Source organism: Homo sapiens, chromosome 14 (assembly GCF_000001405.40).
Source record: "Homo sapiens chromosome 14, GRCh38.p14 Primary Assembly".
Taxonomy (NCBI): Eukaryota; Metazoa; Chordata; class Mammalia; order Primates; family Hominidae; genus Homo; species Homo sapiens.
In genome coordinates this window covers 89329240-89346159 of record NC_000014.9, presented here as the reverse complement: position 1 = coordinate 89346159, position 16920 = coordinate 89329240, and the positions used below count along the sequence as shown (strand labels likewise).

The 16920-nt window shown below is 42.5% G+C and overlaps 1 protein-coding gene across 2 annotated transcripts in view, besides 7 other annotated features; it reads left to right on the top strand.

Moving 5' to 3' along the window:
• FOXN3 (forkhead box N3) overlaps positions 1-16920 on the top strand; it is a 462989-nt gene that overhangs the window by 273006 nt on the left and 173063 nt on the right. The window lies entirely within an intron of this gene.
• Positions 4818-5317: an enhancer, noted in NCBI's record as "H3K4me1 hESC enhancer chr14:89807187-89807686 (GRCh37/hg19 assembly coordinates)". NCBI's record gives its function as "activates a minimal SCP1, AML or CMV promoter by ChIP-STARR-seq in primed H9 embryonic stem cells {active_cell/tissue: H9 hESC(primed)}" and the evidence as "EXISTENCE:reporter gene assay evidence [ECO:0000049][PMID:30033119]".
• Positions 5318-5819: an enhancer, noted in NCBI's record as "H3K4me1 hESC enhancer chr14:89806685-89807186 (GRCh37/hg19 assembly coordinates)". NCBI's record gives its function as "activates a minimal SCP1, AML or CMV promoter by ChIP-STARR-seq in primed H9 embryonic stem cells {active_cell/tissue: H9 hESC(primed)}" and the evidence as "EXISTENCE:reporter gene assay evidence [ECO:0000049][PMID:30033119]".
• Positions 5318-6015: a biological region, named in NCBI's record as "Sharpr-MPRA regulatory region 10244".
• Positions 5721-6015: an enhancer, noted in NCBI's record as "tiled region #10244; HepG2 Activating DNase matched - State 5:Enh". NCBI's record gives its function as "activates a minimal TATA promoter and a strong SV40 promoter by Sharpr-MPRA in HepG2 cells {active_cell/tissue: HepG2}" and the evidence as "EXISTENCE:reporter gene assay evidence [ECO:0000049][PMID:27701403]".
• Positions 6538-6807: an enhancer, noted in NCBI's record as "active region_8858". NCBI's record gives its function as "activates an Ori minimal core promoter by ATAC-STARR-seq in GM12878 lymphoblastoid cells {active_cell/tissue: GM12878}" and the evidence as "EXISTENCE:reporter gene assay evidence [ECO:0000049][PMID:35858748]".
• Positions 14807-14856: an enhancer, noted in NCBI's record as "active region_8857". NCBI's record gives its function as "activates an Ori minimal core promoter by ATAC-STARR-seq in GM12878 lymphoblastoid cells {active_cell/tissue: GM12878}" and the evidence as "EXISTENCE:reporter gene assay evidence [ECO:0000049][PMID:35858748]".
• Positions 15796-16045: an enhancer, noted in NCBI's record as "active region_8856". NCBI's record gives its function as "activates an Ori minimal core promoter by ATAC-STARR-seq in GM12878 lymphoblastoid cells {active_cell/tissue: GM12878}" and the evidence as "EXISTENCE:reporter gene assay evidence [ECO:0000049][PMID:35858748]".

Below are 16920 nucleotides of genomic sequence, written 5' to 3'. Positions count from 1 at the left end.
GTATATATACACCATGGAATACTACTCAGCCATAAAAAGGAACAAAATAATGTCTTTTGCAGCAATTTAAATGCAGCTGGAGGCCATTATTCTTTTCTTTTATTTTTTGAGACAGGGTCTCACTCTGTCGCCAGGCTGGAGTGCAGTGCCGCGATCTCGGCTCACTGCGATCTCTGCCGCTCAGGTTCAAGTGATTCTCCTGCTTCAGCCTCCCGAGTAGCTGGGATTACAGGCACCTACCATGAAGCCCTGCTAATTTTTGTGGTTTTTAGTAGAGACGGGGTTTCACCATCTTGGCCAGGCTGGTCTTGAACTCCTGACCTTGTGATCCACCACCTCGGTCTCCCTAAGTGGGATTACAGGCGTGAGCCACTGTGCCCGGCCTGGAGGCCGTTATTCTAAGTGAAGTAACTCAGGAATGGAAAACCAATGGAAAACGTATGTTCTCACTTATAAGTGGGTGCTAAACTGTGAGGAAGGAAAGGCATGAGAATGATATAATGGACTTTGGGGACTCGGAGGGGAGTAGGGGGAAGGTTGGGAGGGGGATTAAGGATAAAAGACTATCTATGGGGTGACAAGTGCACTAAAATCTCCGAAATCACCACTAAAGAATTTATCCATGTAACCCAAAACCATCTGTACCCCAAAAACTATTGAAATAAAAAAATAGTAGTATACCAGTGTTGTGACAAGTGCCTTATTAGTAATATATGGTGTTAACATCAGGGAAAACTAAGTGAGGGGTATGCAGGAGCTTTCTGTGCTATCTTTGTAACTTCTCTTTCCTTTTTTTTTTTTTTAAAGCAGTCTCCAAAATGCAGACTCATTGATCAATTTTAGATATCCCGATTGTTTTTGGTAGAATGAAAAGTAAAATCACTGCAGCACTGAGAGTTGCCTGACCTACTTTAGTGAAGAGCTGATTGTGAAGGGCTCTTGCTTTTGCCTCATTCTCTGGAAGATCTGCTGAGCCACACGAGGGGTCTCTTTGTAGTTTGGATACTACAGTTCTTGGAACGTTAGTTTTGTGAAATGGCACTCCACTGTGCTTTGTAGAGTACCCGTGGCTGAGCTCGGGCTACTCATGCACACCGAGCCACGCCAGCTTGCTTGGGGAATCTACACCTTTGCCAAGGAGACTCTGGCGTGGGGCCTTCGGAATCTAGATCTGGAAAGTGGAAGGAGGGGTGGTGTGTTTGGGTTGCTTGCCCGTACCTCTTCGGAAAAGTCCACTGAGCTGTTCTAATCTTTATGTTGCCTGTGCCCCTCCTTCCTAGATACGTCATTTCTCATTAAAGAATATGCGTATTTTAATGTTTCCAGTAGACATTGCCAAATTGCCTTCTGATTTTACACTCGGTTCTAGTCCACATTCCCACCAACTTTTTAGGAAATTTCTATTTTTCTAACCTTTCTCAATGTCTGACAGTTAAATGAAAAGACAGTTCCTCAATGGGTGACCTTGACTTTGTGATTTTGGTACTTATAGTGGGGGTATTTAAACTTCGTAACACTACATTAACACCCTATAAACAGCAGCTCTCCCCATAATAATGTTTATGACAACAGATTGTTTTTAGAGAGTGACATATATATGGGTCTTATGTAATACCTTCTCTGCTATAGGCACCAATCCAAAGTCAGTTTCCAGAAAAACATTTTAATCCTCTCTCACCATGGTTGGAGAACAGGTTTTGCATTTAATCAAACAGTATGGTTTATGGAGAGTTTCCTGGATGATTGGTTTTCAGAGCCAGCGTTGTTTTGTGTTTCCTTGGTAATTCCAAAGAAATCCCAGCATCCTACGTACCTTTGGCCTCCATGATGGATTGACCATGATTGGGTGTTAGATGGTCAGAAACTGAGTGAGATGGTTTTTTTTTTTTTTTCTTTAATGAGCTTTCCCTTTTTTTGCTTTAAAATTTTCAATGTAAAAATAATGACATCATAGTCTATATTTCATGTAAAGTATTGTGGCTTAACATGTACAAAGTTAGAAAAATCCACAAGACTCATTTGCTGATCTAGGTCTAAAGATTTATTTTTTGGATGACTATAAAATTTGCAGAGTTAGAACATTTCAAGAAAGTTTCTCGGCTCGATGCGGTGGCTCACGCCTGTAATCCCAGCACTTTGGGAGGCCAAGGTGGGTGGATCACTTGAGGTCAGGAGTTCAAGACCAGCCTGGCCAACGTGGTGAAACCCCATCTCTACCAAAAAATACAAAAATTAGCTGGGTGTGGTGGCAGGCACCTGCAATCAGCTACTCGGGAGGCTAAGGCAGGAGAATTGCTTGAACCTGGGAGGTGGAGGTTGCAGTGAGCCGAGATTGCACCATTGCACTCCACCCTGGGCAACAGAGTGAGACTGTCTCAAAACAAACAAACCAACCAAAATAAAGTTTCTTTTACTCTCATCTTTTTTTTTTTTTTGGAATAAATTCCAGACATTTAAGCTTCTCCTTTTAGCTGTTTCTGTTTGCTTCCTCAGAGGAATTTAACGAGCCGCAAAAAAGAAAAAAAAAAAAAACCACACACATTAATGGCCTCTCCAAAGATTTTGGCCTTTCTGATATTGAGGTTCTTAATGAAAATGGCAGATTTTAGTGCTGACTCAGCAAGTTCTATTATCCTGCCTGCTGCCCTATTGATGTCCTTTTTTTTTTTTAATTTAAATGTCTTCATAGAGTAATACTGCTAAGGGTATAGAAATTGTACAGAGTGGTCACTGTATATTCAAATTAACAAAGTTATCAGTCATTGTTCACCAGGTAAATAATCTTTGGCTGTCATAGTGAGGCTGGGAATAGTAGATAGGGGAATTGCATTGGGAGGAGGTGGGGAAGGTACTGAGGTGTTTAGGGAACTCATCCTTTTAGACAATTAGAAGATTAGAAAATCCTTAAAATGTTAATCTTGTTAACATAACGGTGTTAATTCCTCCACTCAGAATGCTGAATTTGCACACAGCAAGGAATAGCTTATTCATTGCTTGGATAGGATCCAATAATTTTTTAATTTATAAGACATCTTTCATTCTAGTTATTCAGAGTGTTGTGCGTTTAATAGTTGGCAGAAGCACTGCAAAGCCACAATGAAATCAGTTTTAACTTACATTGAAGGACTTTAATTGTTAGATTGTGGTGTCATTGCAAGTGTTAATTCAGTCAAGCATAAAGAAAGATTGCAAGGATTTCGATTAGTTGCTTCATTATTACAAATATATTTACTTGAAAGCAACATATTTGATGGAAACCCGAAATAGTTTTTTAAATGCCCCTCATATTCAATACACTTATTTGGATAAGTTTAATTTAAAAGCGTGAGGCATTATGCATTTTGAAAGATTATGTTTAAACAGCACTTTTTGCTGGGAGTAATTTTTGAAAGAATATTAAATTTAAAAAAATCAATATGAAGCTTCATGGTGCTAAACAGGTAGGAGAGTGTGGTAAATTAATGCAGTAAAGTAGATGTGGGATTGAATACCGGGGCTTTCAAAGTGGTAGCACTTCCAAATATACATTATATTTTGTTAAAAAATTGGAGGGGATGAAGAATAGGAAAGGCTTAAATTGTAAGGGCACACTCTTTAAAAAACACAGTGCTCATTGACAGTGGGAGCTTTAAAAATCCATTAGTTGGCTATAATTTTATTTTCATATCAAATCATGTTGTCTTTTGACTTCCATTATATTTCCTGAGTTGGTCTCATAGAATAATTTTGTTCTCAGCATTTTGCCTTCGGTATGCTGTTCATTATACGTTTAATTCTGAGTCAATCCTGTGTTGTTTTATTTAAATGGAAAACAGTCCCTGTTATCTTTGAGCACTTTGTATCAGGGGTAGCTCATGAATATTATGCCCAGTCATCCAATTTCATTCTGTTTTCACACTCACTTTGAAAGTTGAATGTTTAAGTAGCTGGGCTGATTATATCTATTTTACTCAGGTACTGAGTCAAACTCGTGACTGAGAGAACCACTCCGAGTTACCTTTTTATCTTCTGACCTCCTGGGGTGCCCTCAGTCCCTGGTTTGTATTTTAATAGCCAAAGCGTTAGAAGTTCTTTAAGTCTACTACAGATAAATTTCCATTGACCTAACTCCTGAGATGATGGATACCAAAGAAACTCTGTGTTTCCAATACCTCATGAGAAGAAAGTTGCAGTGTTGATGGGCCTAGTAGGTGCCTGGAGTCTTTGCAGATTTGCTTGGTGAGTATTTACTTCTCGGGATAGCCAGCCAAGGATTCCTGAGCACAGCGACGCCTTAGGCATCGTTAGAGGGGGAAGTGTCTGCAAAGTGGGGCTCACCTGCATTCTGCATATTTGTCAAACCCCTCGCCTTCCCAGAGGAGGAGAAATTGATCCTCATGTTAGAAATAGGAAAACTGTCAAAAGTGCATGAAATCAACCGTGTACAACGTGAAACAACAGGCGGCACTTTGTCTTGTAGAAGCTTAAAAATAGCACATTTTTCATCAATAATAGAAAATAAAAACCTGTTAGCACATCTAAGATGGTCTCATAGAATATTTTTGATCTCAGCATTTTGTCTTCTCCAAGTTCTGGTCACACTAAATACTTGCAAATTTTCTAGATTAACAAAGGAGGGAGATTAAGAAGTAGAGGTGCAGTATAATTAGATGGGAAGTGGAACCCATCATTCATAAAAGATTTGAAGAACATAGAATGGGGGATTGATAAGGAAAGCGATCAGGTTGGCAGGGGCATCCATGTGTTACTGTTGAAGAACAGGGAATGTGTAACCCGGGAAGAGCACCTTCAGAAGGTTAGCATGCCAGCCATCCTCACCATCAGAGAGGACAGATTTGGACTTGATGGATCGAAGTTATAGAAAGAAGGATTTGGGGTCAAGACAGAACAGCATCTGACAGTGTGCCAGGCACATAACAGAAGCTGGGTAAATGCTAGAGTTGTTGGGTGGGTGGACAGATGAAGGGGATGAAGGTAGAATGAGCTACCCCCAGGGATGCCAGTCGAGGCTAGACAACCAGCTGCCAGGGTCGTCCCAAGATTTAACTCTTACTGGAGAACTGCAGGGTTATCGCTTCCAGCTCTTGAGATGTTGTTTCTGAGTTTCTTGGGCTGCCATGACAGTCGAGGCATATCCCTCTGCAACATGGTGTTTGTAGTTTATAAGGTGGAAATGAAACTTGAGGGAATAGATGCATAGCTTTGTTAGCCAGCAATGAGAGGTCAGGCTCTTCTCTTGAAATTAAGTGCAGATTTCAAGACCGTGATGGGACTAATTCAGTTACTCTTCGTTCTGTGTCATCCAGCTTTTTGATTCATGCCCTACAATTACCTCCCTTGTTTTAGTGACACTTCTTTGCATTTCCTTCCGTGTGAATAAAATGATCACGGCAGTGTTTTGCCAAGCAGAAGATCATTTCCAAAAGCTGTCCATCAAATCATCCCAACCTCCCCCCTATTGTTTATCCACTGAATTGATGAGAATAACACCCACCCTTTGCATAAATCTCCATGGAAGAGCCAAACTGGTGTCCTTGTTTTGTGGAAGCACATGTTCTTGGCCAGAGTCTCTGATCACATTCATAACCTTTTGTTTTTCTTACATAAGGTTCGTGTTGCATTATTTGTCAAAGCATCTCTGAGACTCTGCCATGGATGTGAGAGGTACGGAAAGAGCGTGGGAAGCATCAGAGATTCCACATTAATTCCTAACTTTTGCTGATTTTTAAATCATCTGGAGAAAACCTCCATAAACCATTGAGACACATTAAAAAAAATCCTTATCTTCTCAAATTGAGTTGCTTAATCACCATAGTCCAAGTTGAGACATGTTTCCTGTGTGTTTACTTTTAAATGGAAAGTTTTGGTCAAAGTCTGTTTATGAGCTGCTTATTCCAACATATGTCTCTCTAACACACATCAGTTTCCCCCTTCCCTCAGAACACACGCCCCAACCAGTTTGGGCAGAAGAAAAATGAATGGGAAAAACACATTCAGAGGGGAAAAAACATTACCAAATTTTAGTAGCTTTTTTTACCTCCTTCCCCTGCACCCCCCTTCCTTCTTCTCTTTCCTCTCTCTTTCTCTTTGCAGCTGTGGGTCTTCTGAATGAAAGCTTTTTGTTTGTTTGTTTTAACTGTAAGGAGAGCAGAGTTTCTTATCTTAGGATTCTTCTGAACTGGAAATTGCCCCCCACCCCCAAACCCTCCTATTCTTTTCTACTGATGAGAAACACATCAAGAGATTTCCCTGCATTTCAAGCTTCCCAGCAGAGTCCCGCGTGGGAGGTGGGGGTTCTGGCCTGGCTTTGGTGCATTCACCAGCCCCCAGGCCTCCAGCCCAGGCTTAGCTTCACCTGCATTTGCAGGGGAGTGGCCCCGAATTGGTGCTGCAGATGGGCACAGCGGCTCTGTCACCCTCAGGAGGAGGAGGCCAGTCCGAGGAAACAGTGAGGAAGCAGAGAAATGAAAAAGATCCCACAGTCTGAAGCTCTCAAAGCGTGACTCTGGCTTCCCCGCCTGCCCGATCCTGCCCGCAGTAGAGCAGGAGTCAGAAACTCTGTCCTGGGCCTGTCTCCCATGAGCTTTAGTGCCCCAGAGAGGTCCTTCTGCCTCCCCAGCATTGGAAGGAGCAGGATCCGAGAGAACCACACGCTTGCCCTGGTGCAGACGGGGACTGGAGGGTCTCCATGCTTCCTCCCAGCTCCTGCAGGTTGGCCAATGTCGCAGCAGGCTCAGAGCAGATCTTAGTTAGGTCTAGAAAGAGGCTCAGGTTAGAGCCTCCCTGGGCCACTCACTAGCTGTGTGACCTTGGACATGTTACCTGAAGCCTCTGGTCCCTGAGCCTCTGTTTTGTTACTCATTGTGGCATAAGAATACTTGTCTTAGGCTGGGCGTGGTGGCTCACACCTGTAATCTCAGCACTTTGGGAGGCCGAGGCGGGCAGATCACCTGAGGTCAGGGGTTTGAGACCAGCCTGGCCAACGTGGCAAAACCTCGTCTCTCCTAAAAAGAACAAAAATTAGCTGGGTATGGTGGCAGGCACCTGTAATCCCAGCAACTCACCCAGGAGGCAGAGGTTGCAGTGAGCCGAGATCGCACCGTTGCACTCCAGCCTGGGTAACAAGAGTGAAACTCTGTCTCAAAAACAAACCAACAAAAAGAATACTTGTCTTAAACGAGTGCTTTAGGGATTAAATTAAGTAAAATGATGTACCAAATGCCTAGCCCTTGTGCCTGGCCCAGGGAAAGTCATTGAATTTGATTTCTCCTTCCTCACCATTGCCACTGTCTTTTAATAATTGTGCAGTCTTGTTTCTGCAAATGCTGCATACCAAATATTTTTTTTCTTTGAGACAGAGTTTTGCCCTTTCACCCAGGCTGGAGTGAAGTGGTATGATCTTGGCTCACTGCAGCCTCCTCCATGCCTCCCTGCCCACCCCCAGGTTCAAGTGATTCTTCTCCCTCAGCCTCCGAGTAGCTGGGATTACAGGCACCCATCACCACACCTGACTAATTTCTGTATTTTTAGTAGAGACGAGGTTTCACCATGTTGGCCAGGCTGGTCTTGCACTCCTGACCTCAGATGATCTACCCACTTCGGCCTCCCAAAGTGCTGGGATTACAGGCGTGAGCCACCGCGCCCAGCCGGCTGCATACCAGTTTGGCCCTTATATATATGGTTTTGTATTGTGAGGAATCTTTTTATACTTTATGTTCTGTGCTTTCCCCTAGATTTAAGATCTGTGAAAACCAGGACTGTTTGCAAGTTCTCCTGGTGCTATAAACTTCACATGTAGGTGTTATTCAAAATATATTATTTATCAATGATTTCTCTTAGAATGCATAGCATAGATTATAAGAGTAGTGAAAAATATTTTCCTTTAGTTGCTCTGGGATGCCAGAAATCATTGGCTACCCTCCTCCCCTTTACAGTCACAAGTCCAGATGTTTGGAGGGGGAGGGAGAAGCTGGACTCTATGAAAGACAATTTAGCAATTTTGCAGTGTTGGTGTTTCTGACCTTCCATCTACTTCCCCATCTGTCTGCCAAGGTCCGAGTGTCCCTCTGGGTATGCACGAGGCCAGACTGTTTGGACCTGGTCATTCTTCAAGCCTAAGACAGGCTGCCCAGGGATAGAAAGGTTATAAATTCCAGGCTGTTGACTCCAAGGCACCAAATATTGTCACAGGAGGAAACTTTTTTGCAGCTGCTGTAGAAAATGTAAATGTGGCTGGGCACGGTGGCTCACGCCTGTAACCCCAGCACTTTGGGAGGCTGAGGCAGGCAGATCACCTGAGGTCAGGAGTTCAAGACCAGCCTGGCCAACATGGTGAAACCCCATCCCTACTAAAAATACAAAAATTAGCTGGGCTTGGTGACACGTGCCTGTAATTCCAGCTACTCAGGAGGCTGAGGCAGGAGAATTGCTTGAACCTAGGAGGCAGAGGTTGCAGTGAGCTGAGATTGTGCCACTGCACTCTAGCCTGGTGACAGAGCAAGACTCCGTCTCAAAAAAAAAAAAGAAAAGAAAAGAGAATGCAAATGTGCTGACGGTGGTGCAGGCCAGGAATTGCTCCAGCTTTGTCTTGTTCATTATTCCTTTGAAAAGAAGCCTCCCTCTGCTCCTCTGTACATTTCTGCGGAACTGGCACTTGAAAGGTAAGGCGCCGGAGCTCTCCCTGCCCCAGTCATAATGGGAAAAGTTTTCACCCCAGGCCAGCCCAAACACTCAATTGTGTTCTTTCTCTACCAGATACATAATCCGTGTTTAAATCTCTTGGCAGTCACTCATTAGTTTTTTTCCCCTACATTCTTTTCTTCTTTGATGAGAACAAAGCCCGGCTCCTCCCAGCTCCCAATCTTGCTTTTCTCTCCCAGGAAATCTCCCTGTCGCACTTTGATCCCATAGGAAGAAAGTCACCCAAATGCTATCCTTCTCTACCTGCTAAAAGAGGAAGATCGCAATTCTTTGTACTACCAAATCTGTGTGCAGAACTCACAAATCTGTGGTGCCAGAGGTCCTGATTTTTCTGGAGGCATTCTGGCGGCATACCATGGCCTGACTACCTAAGGACCCCTCTCTTGGGCACCTCCCCCTCCCTGATTTTTAATGGATTGTTCTTGAGAAAGGAAGGATTGGACATACGGTGACTCCAATGGAATTTTATTCTTATTAAAGCCCTTTGAAGTTCCCTCTTTCTAACACCACCCTTTCTTACCCTCACCCCTTAGATGTGGCATGTTCCATCATCAGAGTTGTTGAAGTTAAAGTTATAGGAAAACCAACCTGAATTTCTCTAATACAACTCTTTGATGTAGAGTAAAACAAAAATCTATTTCCATCCGATATTCTAGGCTTCTAAGAAATGAACTATGAAAGTAAGCTGTTTAGCACTATAGGACTGTAAAGAATTTTAAATTTATTTTATTCCATCTGCTTTGGACTCCAAACCATTCTGGATTTTGATTGAGAGGCAGAAAACCAAGCATTTATTGGGCACCTACTGTGTGTCAGACTTGGTATACAGACAGCATGTGAGAGGCTATCACGTGCCTATAAAGAGCAGGTCACACAGCTTGCAGATGGCTGAGCTGGGACCTGAGCCGGCCTCATCTGACTGTTCTGACCCCATAGCCTGAGTTCTTCTCAAGGTAATTTGCCACCTTGTGGTCACTGTCTTCTGCAGAAACATTCTTCGATGAGCTTTGGAAAGGAAGAATGACATATCACTTGTTAAAAAGGAATTTAGGGTTTGTAGCATAGTGAGAGTAAGAGAGATGGGAGGTGAGAGTTCCTGCCATTGGAAACTGGCAATGGTGAGGAAACAATGACAATTAGAGGGAGAGCCATGGAAATTGATGGGGGAGGCGTGGGGAGGAAGCAGAGAGGATTCTGTGTGGATGGATGAATGGATGGATGGATGGATGGATGGATGGATGGAGGCACCGTTAGGAGAATGGGGAAGGGGTGACTAAGGATTATGAATGTGTGTGTGTGTGTGTGTGTGTGTGTGTGTGTGTAAGGATCACTTCTGTTTTAGACAAAATCGAAAAGCGAATGTAGGGTGGGGAGAATCACACAATATTTTAGGGATTATTTATACGTTTGTTTAATAAGAAAAAAAGAGAGTCAAACCTCACCATATTATAAAGCTTTCTTGCCCATGAATTCTTCTTAGAGCAAATGAGGGTTTCCTCTTGTTTTGTTCCTCTTAAACTCTCAGTCATTTTGGGAATAAATGTCTATACTTCAGCTATCTTTCTAATCATTTCTTATATGTATTTGTTTTTGATATGTCTGTAGGGAGAACTGACAAGGACTCTCACCATCTTTTGAATTTAGTTTTTTTAAAAAAAATTATTGTTGTTAGAGCAACATATTTTGTTAACATTCTTTAAAAATGAAAATCTCTCTAACCACCGTCCTGAATCTCTAATATTGTACACAGTAAATATTTGTGAAATAAAAATGAATAGATATAATTAGCATCCTTTTATTTGATATTGAAGTCATAAAATGGATTAAAGACACAGGGTTAATTTTATTTTGTTAAGGAACAAGCAGTGAAGATTCTTCCAAAAATGCCTGGCTGATTTCTGGTTGACCCAAGTGTATAAAAATTAAGCTCTAAATAATTATCAAAATAGTGTCTGTAAATAGCATATTTGCTGAGGCAAGACTTAGATCGTAGGAATGATGAGCACTGTTGGTCATTTTGGCTGTGCCAAGTTCAATAGACCACTTGTGGCCAAACGCTACATGTGAGGATGTTTTCAGTAATCTAAGCAGGTGTAGGAATGACACTCAGTTTGAGAGACTCAACTGAAAGTAATGTGCTGGACCACTGAGTTGTTTTACAATTAGTCTTGGAAAACTTGGGGGTTTTTGGTCCTTCTGTGCCCCCAGCTTTATTGAAATATAATTGATGAATAAAAATTGTGGATATTTAAGGCGTACAGTGTGATGTTGTGATACACACATTGTAAAATGATTACCACAGTTTAACATATCTATTACCTCATATAGTTACCATTTGTGTGTGTGTGTGTGTGTGTGTGTGTGTGTGTGTGTGTGTGTGTGATATGAAAATAGTTAAGTTCTACTCTTTTTCAGGTCTGTAATCCCAGCACTTGGGGAGGCTGAGGCGGGCAGATCATGGGGTCAGGAGTTCAAGACCAGCCTGGCCAAGATGGTGAAACCCCATCTCTACTAAAAATACAAAAATTAGCTGGGTGTGGTGGTGCACGCCTGTAATCCCAGCTACTGGGGCGGCTGAGGCAGGGAATTGCTTGAACCTGCGAGGCGGAGGTTGCAGTGAGCTGAGATCGCACCATTGCACTCCAGCCTGGGTGACGGAGCAAGATTCTGTCTCAAAACAAGGAGCAAGATTCTGTCTCAAAACAAAACAAACAAAGAACAAAACAAAACAAAACAAATCTACTCTTTTATTAGCAAATTTAAAGTATAAAATACAGTATTATTAACTGTAGTCTCTGTGCTGTAAATTAGGTCTCTAGGGCTTTTATTTTATTTTATTTTATTTTATGTTTGATGAAGTCTTGTTCTCTCACCCAGGCTGGAGTGCAGTGGCATGATCTTGGCTCACTGCAATCTCCACCTCCCAGGTTCAAGCCATTCTCCTGCTCCAGCCTCTCGAATAGCTGAGACTACAGGTGTGCACCACCACACTTGGCTAATTTTTGTATTTTTAGTAGAGACAGGGTTTTGCCATGTTGGCCAGGCTGGTCTCAAACTCCTGACCTCAGGTGATCCACCTGCCTCATCCTCCCAAAGTGCTGGGATTACAGGCGTGAGCCACCACATCCAGCCAACTTACTCATTTTATAACTGCAAGTTTTTACCCTTTGACCAACATCATCTCGTTTCCCCCAGCCCGCCTCACTCCCCAACCCCAACCCCTGGTAACCACCCTTCTATTCTCTGTTTCTGTGAGTTTGCCTTTTTAAAATTCCATATATAAGTGAGATCATGTGCTATTTGTGTTTCTGTGTCTGGCTTGTTTCATGTAGCATGATGTCCTCTAGGTCCATCCATGCTGTCAAAAATGGCAGGATTTCCTTCTTTTCTAAGGTCAAGTAATATTCCTTTGTGTGTGTGTGTGTGTGTGTGTATACCACATTTATATACATATATATATATATATATATATATATATATATATATATATATACACACCACATTTTCTTCATTAATTTATCTGTCAGTGGACACTTTGGTTGTTTCCATATTTTGGCTATTGTGAATAATGCTGCAATGAAATTGAGAGTGCCATGCAGATATAGTATCTCTTTGAAATAGTGACTTTATTTCCTTTGGATATATACCCAGAAGTGGAATTGCTGGATCTTATGGGGGTTCTGTTTTTTTTTTTTTTTTTTTTTTTTTTTAATAGTCTCTCTGTGTTCACCCAGGCTGGAGTGCAGTTGGCGCCATCTCGGCTCACTGCAACCTCTGTCAAGCGATTCTCATGCCTCAGCCTCCCAGTTAGCTGGGATTACAGGCAGGCGCCACCATGCCTGGCTAATTGTTTTGTATTTTTAGTAGAGATGTGGTTTCACCATGTTGGCCAGGCTGGTCTCGAGCTTCTGACCTCAGGTGATCTGCAAGTGCTGGGATTACAGGCATGAGCCACCACACCCAGCTGTTCTGTTTTTAATACTCTAAGGAACCTCCATACTGTTCTTCGTAATAGGTGCTGAGCCTTTTTTTTTTTTCTTTTGAGACGGAGTCTCGCTCTCTCACCCAGGCTGGAGTGCAGTGGCGCGATCTTGGCTCACTGCAACCTCTGCCCTCTGAGTTCAAGTGATTCTCCTGCCTCAGCCTCCCGAGTAGCTGGGATTACAGGTGCCTGCTAATTTTTTTTTGTATTTTTATTAGAGACGGGGTTTCACCATCTTGGCCAGGCTGGTCTTGAACTCCTGACCTCGTGATCCACCTGCCTCGGCTTCCCAAGTGCTGGGATTACAGGCGTGAGCCACCGAGCCCGGCCTGGTGCTGAACCAAATTACATTTCCACCAACAAGGTATTAGAGTTTCCTTTTCTCCATGTCCTCACCAGTACAGACAGTCTTTCTGATAGTAGCCATTCTTACAGATGTGAGGTGGTATCTCATTGTGGCTTTATTTGCATTTCCCTGATGATTAGTGATGTTGAGCACCTTTTCATATACCTGCTGGATATTTGTGTGTCTTCTTTAGAAAAATGTTTATTCAGGTTCTTTACCCATTTTTAAACTGGGTTATTTGTGGGATTTGTTTAGTTTTTTGTTTTGTTTTGTTTTGCTGTTGAGTTGTATGAGTGCCTTTCTATTGTGGATATTAACTCTTTATTGGATATGTGCTTTGCAAGTATTTTCTCCGTCCTGTAGGTTGCCTTTTTCATTTTGTAGACTATTTCCTTTGCTGTACAAAAAACTTTTTAGTTTGATGTAGTCCCACTTATGTTTGCTTTTGTGCCTGTACTTTTGGTGTCGTATCCAAAAAATCATCGCCAAGACCAATGTCATGGAGTTTTCCCCCTTTGTTTTCTTCTAGTTTAACAGTTTCAAGTCTTAACATTGAATTAAAGTTTTAATCCATCTTGAGTGGATTTTTGTCTGGAAAATTTCGTTTTAACAAAGTCTTTAGACCAGCATTAAGGGACAAGGAGTGAAGCATCAGAATCACAAGAGGGACATTAAGAAAATTATATAGGGTGTTGATGGTGGGAGAGGCCATGGAGACCGGGGATGGGGGTAAGGGTATATGGGAACTGACTGTACTTTTTGCTCACTTTTGTTGTGAGCTTAAAATTTCTCTTAAAAGATGAAGTCTGTTATTAAAATATATGTATATAATTTTCCTGACCCTGGAGAGCTGGATATGGTATTTAAAATCATTGACTTAGTGAGTCATAGTTAACTGTGCAGGGTGTCTGCCCCTCTCTGCGCTGTTCAACAGAAAATACATGTTGAGAATTAGTGTCTTAATCATAGAATATTGCAGCAGAAAAGAACCTAAAATCACCCAGTTTAGAGTCCTTAGGTGGGACACCACATGAACAGCTTCCTGGGGTTGTTAGGACTTTAGTTTTGAGTATACATGAAGTTGCCCGTGGTCAATAAGTTTGGGAAACGCAGCTCATTATAACTTCTTTGTAGTAAGCCAAAATTAAGATATTTCCTACATTTTATCAAACAGACATTAAAAAAATCACAGCACACTGATCAACATATTCCAAGGAACACCAATTTGGGAACAAGTAATCTAAAATAAAGATTACCACTCCGTAATGGGTTATGAAATCAATGTAGGGGTTACAACTATCTTTTTGTTTTACAAAAAATAATACAGTAGAATAAGAAATACCAGAGTGCATTGCACAGAGGAGGCTATTATTTTGTGAAACCTTTGTTTCAGTTATGTATGGTATATTTGTGTGAACTCAGTCAGAATGAAGCCTATTTGTTACTATAAATGGTGGCCAAAAATACGCTGGAGAAGACTGGTCTGATTCAGTTCCTCAATTTTACAACTGAAAACACAGAGGAGACCCATGTGGTCCTAAGATCACACGGGGAGTTAGTAACAGATTGAGTCTGAGTCTGTTCTTCATCCTCAGTCCCCTTCACCACTGCTTTTGCTAAATCCATAGACCATCCTGTTTAAAAAGCAACACTCAGGGAAACAACGCAAACGTCCATCAGCAGGTGGTGGATGAACAAAACGTGTCTTGTACAGACAATGGAATATTACTCAGCCTTGGAAAAGAATGAAATTCTGACACAGGCCACAACATAGATGAACTTTGAACATTATGCAGAGTGAAAAAAGCCAGATACAAAAGGACAAATATCATATGATTCCACTTATATGAAGTTTTCCTAGAATAGACAAATAACATAGAGACAGAAAGTGGATTAGTGGTTACCAGGGCCTGGGGGAAGGTGGGAATGGGGAGTTAGTATTTAATGTGTACAGAGTTTGGGATGATGAAGAAGTTCTGGAAATAAATAGTAGGGATGGTTGCACAACAGTGTGAATACACCAAATGCCACTGAACTGTATGTACACCTAAAAAATTGTTTAAGTGGCAAATTTCATATTTTGTGTATTTTATCACACATTCCAAAATGAATCTAGGCGCAAAAGAAGAAGAGGAAACAGAACAACGTAGCATTTCTTGTAGACAGACCTCATTTCACATTCCAGCAGCCGTTTATTCCTTCAGCCTACCCCTTGGTGGGCCCAGGTCCTGAGGATTCTGAGGCAAACAGGACAGGCTCCCTGGCCTTAGGAATCCATGGAACCGACTGTGGCCAAGTGTGGCCTTGATTCTGGAATCCCTGGCAGGTGATGACTGCTGGCATTTCCACAGGTGATGCATTTTACAGCAGCGAGTGATGCTTAGCCAATGACCTTTCATGTGCTAATAGCTCTGATTTTTCCAATTGCAGCATTTGGATAAACCCACAATTTGCTTTTGGAATGCCAAGGAAAAACATCGTTTATGGTTTTTCTTTTGGTCTCACCCCTTTCATCAGTTGGTCTTTAGCCTTAACCCATAAACAAATAGCCTTTTCTCTCTTTACTCTTCCCTCTTTCTTTGCAAGACCTCCAGGCTCCCTGCAAATGGCAATTCAAGCGACATGCTCCTACCCACAAGTTACAGTGATTCACGCTGGCTCCATTCTGTACTCTTGCTTCACATGTTTGGATATGAGAGTCAGAAGACTCGGGGTGAGCCAGAAATGAGGTCAGGGGCAGCTGGGTAGCAGAAGCGGGATGTCTGTTTCTTTCTTGTAGCTGACTTAAGATTTTTGATACTCCCAGTGCAGGGCAATTTCTGCCCGTACAAGCTGTGGCAGATAGGAGTCTACCGCTGGCTCTATTTGAGGGCATTGGAGATTTCTTACTACCTGGCAGGCACCCCTGTGCTTCTAGCCCCTCCACTGTTATTGACAAACAGGTTTGTGCTTCCAGCCACCCTGTCAGAATCTCTGCAGCCCTCAAGTCAGCAGCAGCATTAAAGGAAACCTGGAGGATGTCTCTCTAACTCCACCAGTGAAAATAGTTAACTGGGCTTACTGGGAGCTAAGAAAATAGTTTATTTTTATGTTACATTGAACTTTACCACAAATGGCGGGGGAGCAGGGATGGCTGGCACACATCATGATAATGATCTTGAAACCGTTAGCATAGTCTGTGAGTTTTAGGTCCACCCAGGGTTTTTCCGCCTTGGTACTATTGACATTTGGGGCCAGATAATTCTTTTTTTTTTTTTTTTTTTTTTTTTTTTTTTTGAGACTGAGTCTCGCTCTGTCGCCCAGGCTGGAGTGCAGTGGCACGATCTCGGCTCACTGCAAGCTCCGCCTCCCGGGTTCACAGCATTCTCCTGCCTCATCCTCCCTAGTAGCTGGGACAGGTGCCCGCCACCACACCCGGCTAATTTGTTTTGTATTTTTAGTAGAGACAGGGTTTCACCATGTTAGGCAGGATGGTCTCGAACTCCTGACCTTGTGATCCGCCCGCCTCGGCCTCCCAAAGTGCTGGGATTACAGGCTTGAGCCACCGCGTCCGGCAGGGGCCAGAGAATTGTTTATTGTGAGAGGCTGTCCTGTGCCTTGTAGGATGTCTGGAAACATCCTTGGCCTCTACCCACCAGGTACCAGTAGCACCCCCACCCACCACCAAGTTGTGGTGATGGAAAACGTCTGCAGATATTGCCAGATGTTCCCTGGGGAGCAAAACCAACCCCAGTTGAGGACCACTGGCACACCCCAAATCCCTTCTGCTATGTTCCGAGTTTTAAATGTTGAGGACTTTTTCCATGGATATTCTGGAAATAATAATGAAAAAGAGCTTGGGGTTTTGGTTTGATTCCTGCTTTATTAGTATTAAAGGGTGTGTAAGCATCAC